The sequence below is a fragment of the Homo sapiens genome, chromosome 11 (genome assembly GCF_000001405.40).
Source record: "Homo sapiens chromosome 11, GRCh38.p14 Primary Assembly".
Lineage (NCBI taxonomy): Eukaryota > Metazoa > Chordata > Mammalia > Primates > Hominidae > Homo > Homo sapiens.
The window spans coordinates 16,106,615-16,122,661 of record NC_000011.10 but is presented as its reverse complement, the minus strand read 5'-3'; the positions used below and the strand labels follow the sequence as shown (position 1 = coordinate 16,122,661).

General features: G+C 35.5%; 1 protein-coding gene across 6 annotated transcripts in view, besides 2 other annotated features; it reads left to right on the top strand.

The window, feature by feature from the left end:
* The window catches only part of SOX6 (SRY-box transcription factor 6), a 772,029-nt gene that overhangs the window by 615,816 nt on the left and 140,166 nt on the right, over window positions 1-16,047 (top strand). For all 6 annotated transcript variants that reach the window (NM_001367872.1, NM_033326.3, NM_001145811.2 and 3 more), the window contains one exon: window positions 10,739-10,859. In NM_001367872.1, the coding sequence (NP_001354801.1) occupies window positions 10,739-10,859 (121 nt within the window). The remainder of the gene's footprint in view (window positions 1-10,738; window positions 10,860-16,047) is intronic.
* Window positions 10,723-10,867: an enhancer, noted in NCBI's record as "145 bp 11:16133413 sequence used in MPRA reporter constructs". NCBI's record gives its function as "activates a minimal TATA-containing promoter with rs4617548 allelic activity by MPRAs in UACC903 melanoma cells {active_cell/tissue: UACC903}" and the evidence as "EXISTENCE:reporter gene assay evidence [ECO:0000049][PMID:36423637]".
* Window position 10,795: a transcriptional cis regulatory region, noted in NCBI's record as "rs4617548 or 11:16133413 MPRA-significant variant associated with a GWAS melanoma risk locus at 11p15.2". NCBI's record gives its function as "allelic transcriptional activity by MPRAs in UACC903 melanoma cells {active_cell/tissue: UACC903}" and the evidence as "EXISTENCE:reporter gene assay evidence [ECO:0000049][PMID:36423637]".

The window sequence follows — 16,047 nt, the reverse complement described above, 5'->3', positions numbered from 1 at the left end:
GCATTTCTGGATGAGGAATTTAATAATGGAACTCTGGTCATTGCTAACAGAATAAGGTTGCATAAAATACTTCAGAGGTGAAAGCCAGATTGCCTTCATTGTGGGTCAAAAGTTTATGAACGGTTTATATCTGAATTTGGTTGTTACAAAGAAAGGAATGCCATATTATTCACAAATATTACCATATTTAAATGGCATTTATACAAAATTTGAAAAAAATAATTTTTATCTTGGCAAAACACTTTGATCATTGTGTATTTAATGGGGTTTCCATTTAGGAATGACAATCATTAGTCTCTAATATGTTTCATACTTCTCTGGAAATAAGACAGGGTGGAATAGGAAACATTCATCTTCACTAGTCTTTGGAAATATCTAAAGTAATTGACTAGCTCAGTCTTCTGTGATGGCCTGGTGACCACTAACTGTGACTATTTGCATAATAGTCAACTCTTCACTTCTGTAGTGATAACTGTTTGTATCTTATTAAAATTAAGACTGTTTTAGTTCTCTTGACTTTTCCAGAAGTTGCAAAAATTGAGATTTGCTGTTCTGCCTTAACCAAACAAATGCACACATGGGGATAACAATATGCTGAGTTTATGCAGATTTTACAGCACGAATCTGAATAAAATACCCACTAATAGATCCTTAAGGAGTAATAAACACACATGAATTTTCCTTAGTTGCACTTTAAAGTGATTTTAACATACTACTAGACCTTAACAATAATATTTAATTGACAAGATTATGCATTTGTATGGATTGAAAAGGTAGTAGATATCTAATTCCAAATGAATCATACATTTTACTTTTGCATAGCATGTTTTATTAATTTCTTTATGGCCAGGATATTCTATTTCCCTCCTGGTGAGAGTTTCTTAAAACATAGTAAGATAATTTAAACACATTTAATTAACATTTATCATCCATTTTATAAAGAAATCTGACTTATGTTTTCAAAAATACTCTCAATTTTTTTCTGGGGTGTAGACCATAGATAGAGTAGAGAAAGATACTTAATGGAATTTTTGCTATACTTTAGTTTTCTTTTTAAGCAAAACTTTCTCTGTTGACCTTATTCCAAAGTAAGCTGAAAACTGGATAATTTGTACTAATATGTAAGTGAGAACAAACCTAATACCACTACCTGAAAAAACAAGGCTATAGATGTCTTTAAGGCACTTTTATATTTCTACTGCCCAGCACAGAACCAGGTATAGAGTGATAGGTTCTCACTAAATGGCTGTTGAAGAGTTGAATTAAGACAAGCAACACTGCCTTCTCTTTTGGAGTAGCATGTTTCTCATGAGTCTAATAGGCCTAAACTAACTTTTTATTTGTGTAAGTATTGAGCTCTTCATTTTATGGAATAAGGGGACAAATAAGTAAGAGATACTAGGAATTAAGATTATGTTAGTGCTAAATCCATGTTCTTTTCTCTGAAAATTCAATATTAAATAGAACATGTACAAATGAATAAGAAATAAAGTAATTACTTTTGACTACATATGATCCTAGTAGATTAATGAGATATTTGTCCATTTTAAAAAATGCAAATAAAGTGAGTACATACAGTATGCTGAGAGTATGCTCAGTATATAGAGTATGCTGAGAATATAAAAAGAGATGTTAACACAAAGGAAAGGATTGGCCCTTTCAGGGCTATTAACATTTCTCTCAGAATATATACCTGAAGAAGATTTTTAAAACATGTACCGTTGACCTGATAGAGTCATTGTGTTCTTACTTACAAAGATTATTTCTTTCCTCTGTAACTATGGAAGAGAGTTGGAAAGTGCTAGACTGTGAAGTAGATTTTAAATAGTTATCTTAAAGCACCAACCCAGCAAATGAAACTGCTTTGTTTGCGTGTTTTACTCTTGGTAGTTGGGCAAGGACATAGTAAAACTAGTGACAAGATAAATCTTTTTCGTTTATTCTGTGAATAATTTAGGCATTTTGTTTAGCATGTTAAATAATCAAAATTAGAAAAGAGAACTCACTTTCTGGAGCTATTTTTTTCTTTTGCTTTAAACCAACTTTTCATTGAAGTATATTTATGCAGAAAAGTGTGTGTATATATATATATATATATATGTGAAGTTAGCTCTTTATTAATGTTTTAACTAAAACATATGACTTTGAAGTCCCAATCCTGAGTTTGTAAAGGGATGCTTTTAAACTATAACATCTTGAGTTCGTTCTACTTTTTAAGGAGTTTACTTGGCCCTTTAATGAGAATTTTGAAGAGTGCTAGGAATAGTGTGCCAAATCCTGGGAAGACATTACATTATATTAGAGATGGATATTAACAATGGTGGCAAAGTGTTTTGTATCTTATCTTGATGGGACCTGAGAAAGGAAAGAGGAAGAGGGAAGAGGAGAAGTTATGAGAGACAGAGAGAGAGAGAGAGAGGAGTGAGTGAGAGAGAGAGAGAGAAGAGAGAGAGCAGGAGGGGGAGTGAGAGAGAGAGAGAGAAGAGAGAGAGCAGGAGGGGGAGGGAAGAGAGAGACAGAGGGGAAGGAGAGAGAGAGAAAGGGGTGGGGGGAGAGAGAATAACCTGCCAATAACAAATAACAAACAAACAAACAAACAGAAGCAAGCAAAGATTGATCCTCTTCTGAATGCAGTTACATTGTTTGTACAATGTATATCCATTGGATGGTGGAATACACCTGGGAAGAATGGACTCTGTTCTCAAATGCTCTAGAAAATGTGTGTCCTAAATTTGCTCTTGCTAGGATTCTAGTATTCTCCTGTTGGGCTAGCTAGATTCTCTAGAAGCAGGATTTGATATATTACATTAGCTGTAGCAGCCACAGATTTGCTAAATAAGACAAATGAAGAGAGAACAAGATTATATCAAGATGTATTTAAAAGTCAGTTTTAAGTTCTCTTCTGGAATGAGAATGATTACAGCTCAGTACTTTTTGTAGTTGCATTAACAATTCTACCCTATGAAAATTGGTGGTCAGAAGACCAGATCTGAGGTCCTAGTTGGTTGGCTCTCAGCCATTGATCAGTTAATACAAAATACTTACTGTGTTTTTAGGCCTGTGATAAGAGCAACAGGATATATAGAAATATAAATGGCACAGGCCATTTGGGACAGTCAACTTACTTGCTGAGAGATGATTTATGATTTGTGAATTAGTGAACAGCAAAGAACACAGCATAGAATTTAAGGCTTCTTTGAGTACTTAAGGCTGTGGCCAACAAAGAGAAGTTCAGTATGTTGACTACTGCATTACACTTTCTAAGGAAGGGCGAAGCAGAGTATTAAAATTTTGGAAAGATTTTAACAAAAAAGTTTGAGACTAAAAGGGTTTCTGTTAAGGCATGAATTTATCCTGTCAAGTGAGATATTTTTCCTCCTAACCTCCAGAATTAACTATAAGTCCATGTACTGTGGATTTCCATGCACTTTTTGGCAATAAGAAGACACATTTCTGACCTTGAAGGCTTTTCCTTTAAGTTTTCTGGGGACTTCATTTCTTTTGCTTTAGATGGTGCAGCTTTTACAGTGGTAATACTTTATGCAAATGAGTCAGCTATTCTTTGCAAAAATGAATATGGTCATTTCGAAAACTGATCCCCATCCCCTGTTTCTGACTGCACTTCTTGCACCTCTCTCTCCCACCTTCTCTCTCTCCCAAGATCACTTTTTCTGAACTCTCTATTTTCTCTCTTTTCCTCCATCTCTGTCATGGTATACACACATTGGAAACATTTCTTTCAACAGTTTAAGAAGCTTTCTTCAATTAAATCACATAAGGAATTATTTTCTAGAGATAAAGTATTTAAAAACCCTCATTTTTGCACTGTCTTTAACTCAGTAATAGACATTAATATGCACATGATTTTCAATACAAATACTTATTTCCCATTACTAAAAAAAGTTAAATAATCTTCATGAAAGAGAAAATGAGCCCCCTGAGTGTCACTCTGTTTGCATATTAGCACATAGCCAGGTCTCTGCCAAGTTGCTCTCTGACTGATTGCTGCAGATGCTCTTTCTCAAGTATTCAGAGTCATATCTTTACTGCAAGTCTTCGGGGACAAACAATAGCACCTGTTCCTCACAAGATATCAGGCCAGTTAGCCCATTCATGTATCTTTAATGAAGCTCTGGGGCAGATGGCAAAAAATGGCATCATCAACAACTTAGCACAGAGAAAACAAAGGGGATAAGTGTTGATGCAACAATGCTGTTTTATGAATTGGAAGAGACAGAACCTAAGTGTTTCACACACATCTGCTGCTGTCTTGATTCTCTGAAAGATGTGAGGAATACCCTAGCAATTAAAATTTCTGGGCATGTAGCCTATTTGATCAAGAATATGTTCCCCACCCTCTCCAAAAGGGAAACACTTTGGTTAGGGATTGTATAAGTTTAGAATTAATGGACAGTTGTGCTTTGGGGTAGTTTATTCCTTTCATGATACACTAAGCTTCACCCGTGATGGGGTTTCCGGTTACTTGGTAGTCATTCAAATTACATACCCAGCCAGATAGTGCTTACTTTCAAAGCAATAAAAATAACACAGTTTTCATGCCCAGCGATATATTTTGGCCACATCTAGTTTTGCTCTTTGTGCTAGCAAAATCAGTTTTACTTCTTCATCTATAGGATAATTAAAGAATCTCTGAATTTGTGTTTAGGGAAAGTTACACTTTCAAGAAAAAAAAGATGCTATTTGAAATTTTGATAACTTCTTGGAAAAGACATGTGGAGACTGGTCAGTCTTTGATGGAGTGAGGGGAGTTCTATTATTTTTTATTCTTAGTAAAATATTTTTGGGGGTTGCTGTTTCCAATGTGACTGCCTTTCCTGGCATGTCACCAAATGGGAAAACGGGATGATGGGAAGGTAGGGAAAAGGCAGTATTACATTCTTCATAGTGGGATGGGGCTTTTCTGTATCTTCAGAATTCTTCATCTGCCCTAAGCACTGGCACTCAGTGCAGTGACTTTAATACACAACTTCCATAAAAGGAAAATATCCTGGATGTTTGTGTGATTCTTAGGTGGCCACCAAGCCTCTTTCCTTGTCTTTTCCCCTTACCTTGCTCTTGCTTTCCATTTCTGTTCCACATTCAACCGACAATCTTTTAGTAAGTATAATACATGGAAAGCTATGAGAGGGAAAAGTTGTTGCTTTAATTTATACTTTCTGCTAATATCACTTGCATTGGGTCATACTGATGAGCATTCTGTAGAAGATGGCATTTAGAAATATTGATAGACCCTCGTTGCCTTTGCTTGTTTTTTGTTTGTTTGTTTGTTTTTGTTTTGTTTTGTTTTTTGAGATGGAGTCTCGCTCTGTCGCCAGGCTGGAGTGCGGTGGCATGATCTCGGCTCACTGCAACCTCTGCCTCCTGGGTTCAAGTGATTCTCCTGCCTCAGCCTCCCGAGCAGCTGGGACTACAGGCACACCCCACCATGCCCAGCTAATTTTTGTACTTCTAGTAGAGACAGACAGGGGTCTCACCATGTTGACCAGGATGATCTCAATCTCTTGACCTCTTGATCCACCCGGCTTGGCCTCCCAAAGTGCTGGGATTATAGGCATGAGCCACCACGCCCAGCTGCCTTTGCTTGTTTTAAAGACACAATTCCTTTAACACACTAGGGCAGCCATCCCCAACCTTTTTGGCACCAGGTACCAGTTTTATGGAAGACAGTTTTTGCATGGACTGGGTAGGGGAGGGGGGATGGTTTCAGGATGAAACTTTTCCACCACAGATCATCAAGCATTAGATTCTCATAAGGAGCATGGCTAGGTCCCTCGCATACACAGTTCACAATAGAGTTGGTGCTCCTATGAGAATCTAATGCCACAGCTGATCTGACAGGAGGCAGAGCTCAGGCGGTAATACTTGCTTGCCCGCTGCTTACCTCCTGCTATGTGGTCCAGTTCCTAACAGGCCACAACCTGGTACTGGTCCACAGCCCAGGGGTTGGAGACCCTTGCACTAGGTAACTATGAATAAGATTGTTGGATTGTATCAATGTCAGTACTCTGGTTGTGTTGTCATACTGTAGTTTTGCAAGATGTTATCATTTGGGGAAACTGGATTAAGGATCCATGTGATCTCTCTGTATTCTTTATTACAACCACATGCAAACCTACAATTATATTATTATCACCAATAATCATATTCCTTATCTTAGATCTGTTTTTCAAAGGATGACTTCATGCTTAATGTAATATGATATTAAAAGTATGAACTTTGACCCTGACATATCTGGACTTGAGTCCTGACTCTATAACTTTTAATTGGTTATGTTACTTAACCTCACATGGTTTTGTTTTTCTCATTAAATAAGTATAGTAGTAGTTAGTACCTTACAGGGTTTTGAGGATTAAATGAGATAGAGTATGTAAATCACTTTTCCAGTGTTTGACATATAGAAAACAAGAAAAAATATTAGCTGCTGTGGTCATCATCATCATTATCATCATCATTACTATTATTACTTATGTAATTAGACATAAGAAGAACTTTTAATCACCTTTTCTCAGGCTAGAGTCTAACTAGCTACTGGATATTCTGGCTTCTCTTTAATAAAGGGCACTTGGAGTTTTTACATCATTTTACTTAAAATAAGTTTATTGTTTTACTTAAAATAAGTTTAAGTCAATTTTAACCCTTGGAACAAAATGATCATTGCTAATCAATGTATTGTAACAAACTACACAATTAATGATGGTAGATACTGAGATCAGTGTGTTCTGTATAAAATAAAATAAAAATAGAAAGGAAGGAAGGAATTTATTGAAAATTGAACAGCATTCATAGTATCCAAACTCCAGCAATATGCTTTTGAAACACAAAATTATTTTCAGCTGGAGACTTCCAGGTTTTCTTTGCCAAAACAGTGCAACCAGTGATTTCTCCCTTTTCTATCACTGAAGTCCCTCTGATGTAATGGAAAAAGCCCTGGACAGGGTGATTAGCTGTTCTGGACTCTGGATCCAGCACTGTCATGACACTGTAACCTTAGGCTCATATCTTTTACCTTCTCTAGCCACCTGTTTTCCTATGTGTAAATTGTGAGCTTTGGATTAGATTAGTGATTCTCAAAGAATGACCCCTGGACCAGCAGCCCCAGCTTCACCTGGGAACTTTTTAGAAATGTACACTGTCAGACCCCTACCTCAGATCTACTGATTCAAAGACTCTTGACGGGGAGCAGGGGGAGAGAAGGAAGCAATCTGTGTTTTAACAAGCCCTGTGAATGACTGTGATCCACACTAAAGTTTGAGATCACTGTCCTAAATTAAATTTTAGCCTAAAATTTAATTAGTTGGACTGAATTCCAGAGTTTTCTGATTCAGTAGGTATGGGGTAGAGTTTAAGAATTTGCTTTTTTAAAAGGTTCCCAGATATTGCTGATGCTGCTGGTCTGGTACCACACTTTGAGAACTACTAGGTTAGGTCATTTCCAAGTTCTATTCCAACTCTATGTTTCTGTCATTACTCTTGCTTTCACAATGTCCTTTGACCTCCTCCTTATTTACTTTTTCTCTCAAGTTATTGAATAGCCTCTGGGCTAATATTTAGTATTTGAAGTTTCTAACATAGCTTTCTTTGCAGAGTGTGATGAACAGAAATGAATTTACCTAAATTCTTACAGCTTATCTTAATATGAAACACCTACAGCTCTTTGGCATTAAAAATGAACCCGAGAGTTTGGTTAGTTATCTCATGAAGATGGAAAGTTACAAAAGAAGTAATTTAAGGCACTGAGATTCAAGAATTAATTCTGGTTTCTAATTGCTATTGACCTTTTTCTGTTGTCTCATGATCTGAAGAGCTTGGGCGACCAATATAAAAATAATGTTTTCATTCTAAGATGCTGCTAAATAAATAACACCAAAGAGCCCCAAATACATGTTCAAATGAGCATGTATTCCCACCTCTTCTTTCTCATGGTTTTCTAGATACTTGGGATGGGATAATGCTCTGTGAGGCATGTTGTCTGCTAAGCATGACAAGCCTCTGCCTGCCAAACTGAATTATTTAGTTGGCTCATGTTTTCTTTCTTAAAGTAGAGTTATGAGTAAGATCAACTATTGCTTGTTTTATTGCTTGTTTTATCAGTAATTTGATAATTTCTAGTCCTGAATATGCAAACCATATAAGAAAGGAACACGGATCTAACAAGGATTTACTGTGACATTGCATTACTTTTATGTCAGGTACTGTGCCACAAGAGATACTTTTATTGTCTATTTGGTCCTCACAATAATTGTGTAAGGTATTATAATTAGCTTCAGTTTTTACATGAAGAAATAGACTCAGAACAATTAAGTAACTGTTCAAGATTACACAGTCAAGAAAATAGCAGCATATAGATTTGAGTTCAGACTTTTTGCCAACAAGGCCTTTAGAGGCACCTAGTAAATCCTCGATAAATAAATGCATGATAAATGAATGAAGGAATGGCTGTAATCACACTATCGTATTAATGTTGACTTTTAAACAATCATAGAATTATAAAGTTGGAAAGGCTCTAAAGGTTATTATATAATCAGGTTTTTCATTACGTATTTGCTTTAAACATCTCTAACATATGGTGTTATACAGCCTTTCTTTACTGGACCAGCTCTAGGGAAAGGATATATACCATCTCTTTACTCAGAGTGACTATAGAATAGTTTATTACTAGAAAGTTCTTCTTTGCATTTCATTTCCATGAAATTTCTTCTTTTGAGCCTAGTTCTGCCCTCTGTTAACCATTCAGTCTTAATCCAATCCTTCTTCCATACATTATTATTTCAAATATTTGAAGATAACCTTACCTCTTTTATCTCTCAAGCTAAATATTCAAACATCTTCAGCTACTTCTCAGTAATAACAACATAATAAATGTTTGTGAAATGAAAGAAATAATAAATAAATATAATATCCAAACTCCTCACTTTCTTTTTCTCCCTTTTTAGAGTATAAGCCATCTGTGCTATATTTTAGGTACATATTAGGGCCATATTTCTGGAGGCAAATGAAATTATTTCCTTTGATGTACTCTTGCACTGAACAATTGTAACCCATAAAAATATTGTGTTTTATTTTCTGGCATAGAATAGTGCCCTCGTCTCTGATGTCTCAGGTTTGCATCAGGGTACAACAAGCTAGAGTTCAACAGCAAACCCGGTGCTTTTCTTCAGGGTTAAAGGCAAGACCTGGGCACTGGGGGATCAGCTCCAATTTAAGCAGGCTTAGTTTGTACTCTAATGTACGAAACTTGGGCTTACCTCAGCTAAAATGGAAGAAATAGCTGCTCAAAGCTAGTTTCTTTCATGCCCCACTGGCAAGGTAGTAATTGCACAAAGACCTTTTTATTATAAGTTGATTTTCTTGAGAAATGAATTCAGAAAAATCCTGTAAAGTGTTTATTTTTTGCTTGCCCTTTATTAACCCACATCTTAGGGCTTTCCCTAGAGAAAAACTGTTGGTAAACGAAACCTCTTAGACCTACACAGAAGCATTTTTTGCACTGTGTCCCTGGCTATGAAGGGAACAGGGACAGGACAAGGCAAGTCAGTGCTAATTAAACAGGGTCATTAGCCAGTGTATGGAATTTTGCCTAAAGAGAAGATTTAGGAATTTAGACAGGGAAGGGTTTGGGGTTGGAAGAATTACTGGTAAAGGTTTGTATCTTAAAAAAGATATAATATAGCCCTTTTATACCAGTGAAAAGGCTAAATACCCTGTTTGAACTTAAAGATAATTTCTTTTGGTATATCTTAGTTTTCATCTTTAAATAAGAAAAGTCCTGTATTCAACCTATAAAACTGTGCCCTGAAAGCCAGGACAAAACCTTCCTGTCATGCTATCCTGGAATCCGGGCAGCATGCATAGAGTAAAGAAGGAAGCTAGGAAATTAAAATGTAATTTTCACAAGCATGATTCTGTCATAGCTCTTATTTTCTTTATATGGAATACAAATACTGATATAGAGTAAAGATTTTTCTATTTTGCATTTTTTGTGCTCTTTGATACATTTATTGAGGTCAAATGAAATTTGATATAGTAGGATTTATTATGAAATGTTCTCTGAAAACAACTCCATAATTACTGAGCTACATGGTAGTGCATAAAGCTGTAAAACTGCTTAGCCAGACAAGCAATTTATATGTTACATCGAGGTGTGTATGGCAAAGAGTATTACTTTAATTGGGAGCCAAGATGTAGTAGCCTTAAATCTGAAGAGCTATATGTTTAACATAATGCATGAGGCTTTGAAATAAGATACCTAAACTGGGGAGATACAGCTTTTAGAATATATATTAATTAGACATTATTTTCTGACCATGGATACTAAATACTGTTTTTGAAAGAAAGCACAGAATGCAAAGCAGGTGAAAGGGCAAAACCTCTCAACATTGTACAGTGCTAGAAAGGAAGCAAACTTATTTCTTCTAGTTCTTTGTTTAAAAGAAAAAATAAAAGGAAAAAAGTCAAGAGAAAAGAAAACCATTAACTACAGTTCGGTGGAAGCAGGGACGAGGCAAATGCACAATGAAGTTACGTCTTCGGTATGCTATTAGCATCTCAGAAAAGGGATTTGGTGGATTTTAACTGAATTTTCTCAGATTGCAGATTTGGAATGAGGTTAGAGGTGGGTGGCTGTGTGGGTACCAGCACACCACCAGGAGTGAAAAACAAATTCTTCTTGGCATACATTTGCTCCCTGTCTGATCATAGGCTCTCTTCTGTTTAGCAGGTTCAGGGTCACATGCCTCCGCTCATGATCCCAATTTTTCCACATGACCAGCGGACTCTGGCAGCAGCTGCTGCTGCCCAACAGGGATTCCTCTTCCCCCCTGGAATAACATACAAACCAGGTAAGTAGAGAGGGATTTAACATTCTTTTCCAAATGCTCAGATCTGCATGTTTATGCTTAGTACTCACAACAAACACAGGAGCATGCCAGGGAACTATGAATAAAAATATCATAAAAGCTTATTTTAAAGTAAAATTAGAATTGGGAAGAGTGGGCATTGTAATAAACTAATTGGTTGCTAAAAACTTTTACTTTCTCTTCTTCCACTTGAGTTTGTCTTGAATTCACAGATAAGATACTACTTTCCCTGGGGACTACAATGTTTTTGTCAGCTCTCTCTCATACTTTTACTGTGAATAATTGTTTTTTGGTTAAAGATCCTTTTCTCCTGGTGAGAGCTGTTATATTCTGGAAAAGTGATCACATTCAGTATAAAATGTCATTGTTTGTTGTCAGACTTCTCTTAGAAAGATAGTTAAAACTAGACTGATTTAATTAGCTTACCACTAATGGTAAAATTGTTTTTGATTTTCATCTAAAAAAATGAAGTATTCAGTACTTTTTAATTCATTTTTAAACCTCAAAAAACAGGTCATGTAACCTTGCAGTGAAATATGTTTTAAGATGATTTAGCAAATGTTGTGATTTTTCTTTTTTCCTCGGAGTTTACTGGACTCCTGGGGAATTCAATTAGGGGCATAATGGTTTGAAGCTTCTTTCAGAGCCTCCTTGTAAACAGGGCTTTAAATGTTTAAAGATATGTTGCCAAAGGAATCCAATGTAAGAAGATAGTCAAGTAAATAAAAGTCAACCTTAATTTCATTTGTGCATTCTTTGTAAGTGACCTCAGCTCAGAAGTAGTGACCTTGTTCTACTCATTAATAATTTCTGTGTCAAGTTCTTTTTAACATATTAACCTGATTATATTTACCATCAAATCTGAGTACAACAAATCTGCGTGCAGCAGTTTCTTTGTGTATGTGGTTTATAAAGTGAACAAAGGCGTTTTAATATGCTTAGAGCAATAATAAAATATAAATCACTTTACTAAAATTCTGGAGAAGAAAGCTTATTAAATAGCATAAAAACAAGCCTAGTGCATTTTAGCATCTGTTTTAATTGCTTGTTGCCAGTGATTACTCTTTTGTATTTGATAGAGAACTTCCTTCTTTGTAAGAAAAGGTAGGATGTCTGTGGCAAAACACGAATGATTCAAGGAATTGAGATGTTATGAGATTGGTGAGTTTAAGGGCTGTCTGAAAATTCCTCACATATAAATGAATCAAACTCATATTACCAAAAGGTTTTTGGATACCTGAGAGAAAATTATGTCATTCAAATTGTTAAAAATTCATTTTTCTAGAGCATGATTTTTAGAACAAGGTATACTTAGCTACTATGACATTGGCATCTATATTAAGGACAGGAGTATATTTTTTCAGAGAATTTTTTTTTTTTTTTAGTGAAGTGGTTCAGTCTTCCTGTGATCTCTGTAAGTCATTCTAAACTACTTCTTCATTTTGACTTTCTTTGGAACATTGAAGTAAGCCAAGTTTACTGTTCTATTCTGAATTTGAGTTTGACACCCCTGTACCAGTCCCAGAAACATTTTAAATGAACTGTATGTGGAAATTATCTATTTGACTTCAGTGTTTTTAAAGTTAAATTTATCCACATTTCAAAATCAGTTATGGGTCTTATTTTCTGTTAGACGTAGACATCTTGCTTACCTAATTTTGTTGAAACAATACCGCCACTTTTCATGGGGGAAGATATTGTTTTATTAGTGATTTTAGACCATTTTTCAAATGTCTTCTCTAACAGCATTAATGAGATTATAATATGTAACTGAGAAAAACAGAGAAATTGGGACAATATTGTGCAGAAATTAGTTACTTCTATTGAACAAAGGGCAGCTTAAAGTTAGTGTCCTGGGGTAACAGAGCTGTATTTGATTATGTTGGCCAAACTGTGTTGGATAAGGCAGGACAATGGGTTTTGAGATGTAGGAAGAGTTTTAATTACAAGCAAGGTTGGTAAAAAAAAGTGTTTACTTTCGTGTGACTCCTAAATTATGTCAGACAATTTCATTAATCAGAACTCTAATTCTTTCAATATTTTGGCTAACCTAGGCTTTATTGTATATGAAAAATGTGTTTAAAATTCATTAAAATTATATGTTCTTACGCTATTAGTAGAGAAATTACATCCTCAGAAGACTTAATCAATCTATGCAGTGTTTTTATCATTCACATGAATTAGGTGAAGAGACTTCTATTGGACTGGAAACTGGACAAGTACAATACAACTTCTTTTTGCCCCAAACTGAGCTATGGTAACTTCACTTGAAATGTATGTGAGGGCTGGGTGTGGTGGCTCATGCCTGTAATCCCAGCACGTTGGGAGGCTGAGGGGTGGGAGGATCACTCAAGCCCAGGAGTTCAAGACCAGCCTGGACAACATAGTGAGCCCTTGTCTCTAAAAAGATTAAAAAGTTAGCAAAGCATGGTGGTGTTCACCTGTAGTCCTAGCTACCCAGGAGGCTGAGGTGGGAAGATTGCTTGAGCCCGGTAGGTTGAGGCAGCAGTGAGCCGTGATTCTGCCACTGCACTCCAGTCTTAGCAGCAGAGTGAGACCCTGTCTCAAAAACAAAATGAAATAAAATAAAATAAAATAAAAAAGAAAAGAAATGTATGTGAGACAGCAATGACTAAATTTTTGAAAGAAAACCTTGAATTGGTGGCATAAATTTGTATTCTGGTTCCCTAAACAACAAGATGAACAAGTGCTACCTTGGTCTTTATAAATTGAAAAAAATAAATTTCCTTTTTTTTTCCCTTTCCACTTTCCCGTATCTGAAATGATTTCATGGTATTTGTGCCTTCAGCTGATTGAATAATTATCTTAATTTCCAGAGAGCAAGGACTACCTTGGGGTGACATTCATTGTTTGTTAAAGTTGACTGTTTCTGAATCCATGTTAAGACAGTGTAAGCAAATACATTTAGGGTTATAGGCCTTCACTCCCCACCCTATGATTTGACCTGTGCCTCTGGGCATTTCAGAGTCCCAGCGTGTAGTAAACACTAGGCAAGCTCTCCCACCTCAGTGGGTTGCTGAGGGGGCATGCTGCCCACAGGGATTGTTCAGCTCCAGGACAGCATCTTTCAGATTGTTCTCTCTAGAAATAGCTTTATTGAGTTTTAATCCCTATTTTTAAAAATGTTTTACAGGTTCTATAATTAGAGACATATTTCTTGATAGGAACTCATCATCAGATCCCAGAACATAAACCACAGACTTTTGGTTGCTTTGCTCTTTCACATTGTGATACAGAGAGGTGCACCAATCAAGAGTAAGATAGATACATTTGAGCACAAATATTGGAGAAAATTAAAAGATAAAGCATCTTTCACAGTTGCCAATGTGTATATCCAATCAAGATCAGCTTGCCTGAAAAACAGAAACGATGAGTAGCCCCCTTCATACTTCAGGCTTGATTTAGCTGACCCATTGCTTTATGTAGTTGGAATTTTTTACATGATTGCGGCTAGAAAGCACACTTGAAGTTTCCTAGAAGGTCCTAGGAACAGGATGTCTGCCTGTTCCTGGGTCTTCCATTTACTCACTAGTTATGATATGATAATATATGATAATAATAATAGCTAAAGCTTACTGATTGATACTGTGCCAAATACTGTGCTACATATTTCACATGGACTATTTTATTTCATCCTTACTTGAACATGTCATTTAATCTTGCTGAACCTCACTTTTTGTCATCTAAGAAATGTGTCACGATTTGTTCACTACCCAACGTGGACGTGAAAATTAAATTTTGTAAAATATCTAAAAGTTCTCTGAAAATGATAAAGCACTAAGATTGGGAGTAAAGTCTGACGGTGAAACTGAGTAACTTTAGCCTGTTAAACTACATCCTTATCCATTGGAAATGCGGCCCAAAAGCTGAGTGTTAGACTGAGTCATAGTGTCCCTCTGCTCAACGACCAAAAACAATTTTACAAGTATACCTAATGTTTCTTTTTTATTGCAGTAAAATATACATAATATAATAGTTATTGTTTTAGCCATTTGTAAGTATATAACTCAGTGGCGTTAATATATTTTCAATATTGTATAACCAACACCACAATCCATACCCAAAACTTTTTCATCATACCCAACAAAAATGCTGTAGCCATTAAATAATAACTCTCTCTATCCCTCTACCCTTAGTCTCTGGTAACCTCTATTCTATTATTTTTCTCTATGCATTTGCTTATTGTAGGTACTTCATATAATTGGAATAATACAATATTTATCCTTCTATGTCTAGCTTATTTTGGTAAGCATAACATTTCAAGGTCCATCCATATTGTAGCATACATTAAAATATAATTTTATTGCTGAATAATATTCAATTGTGTATATATATGTATATATATGTATATATATATACATATATATACATATATATGTATACAGATCACATTTTGTTTATCTGTTCATCTGTTGATAGGCACTTAGTTTGTTTCTACCTTTTGGCTATTATGAATAATACTTCTGTGAATATGGTTATAGAAATGTTTGTTAGAGTCCCCACTTTCAATCCTTTTGGATATATACCTGTGAGTTGAATTAATGGATTATATGAAGTTCTATGTTTAAACTTTTGAGAAACCACCAAACTGTTTTCCACAGTAGCCGTGCCATTTTATATTCCCACGAGAAATGTAAGAGGGTTCCAATTTCTTCACATTGTTGCTAACACTTGTTATTTTCAACTAAATTTTTTTATTATTATCATCCCAGTAGGTGTGAAGTGGTATCTCGCTGTGATTTTGATTTACATTTCCTTAATGATTTATGATGCTGATCATCTTTTCATGTCCTCATTGGCCATTTGGATATCTCCTGTGGAGAACTGTCTATTCAAGTAGTTTTCCCATTTTTGAGTTGGGCTTTTGTTGTTGTTGAGTTTCAGTTATTTGTGTATTGTGGATATTAATACCTTATCAGATATATCATTTACAAATATTTTCTCCCATTCTGTAATTTGTCTTTTAGCATTCTTCATAGTATCTTTTTATACACTAAAGTTCTTAATTTTGATGGAGTCCAATTTATCCATTTTTTCCTTTGGTGCCTGTGCTTTTGATGTTATATCAATGAAATCATTGCCAAATCCAATGTCATAAAGATTTACCACTATGTTTTCTTCTAAGGGTTTAGTTTTTTTAGCTTCTAAG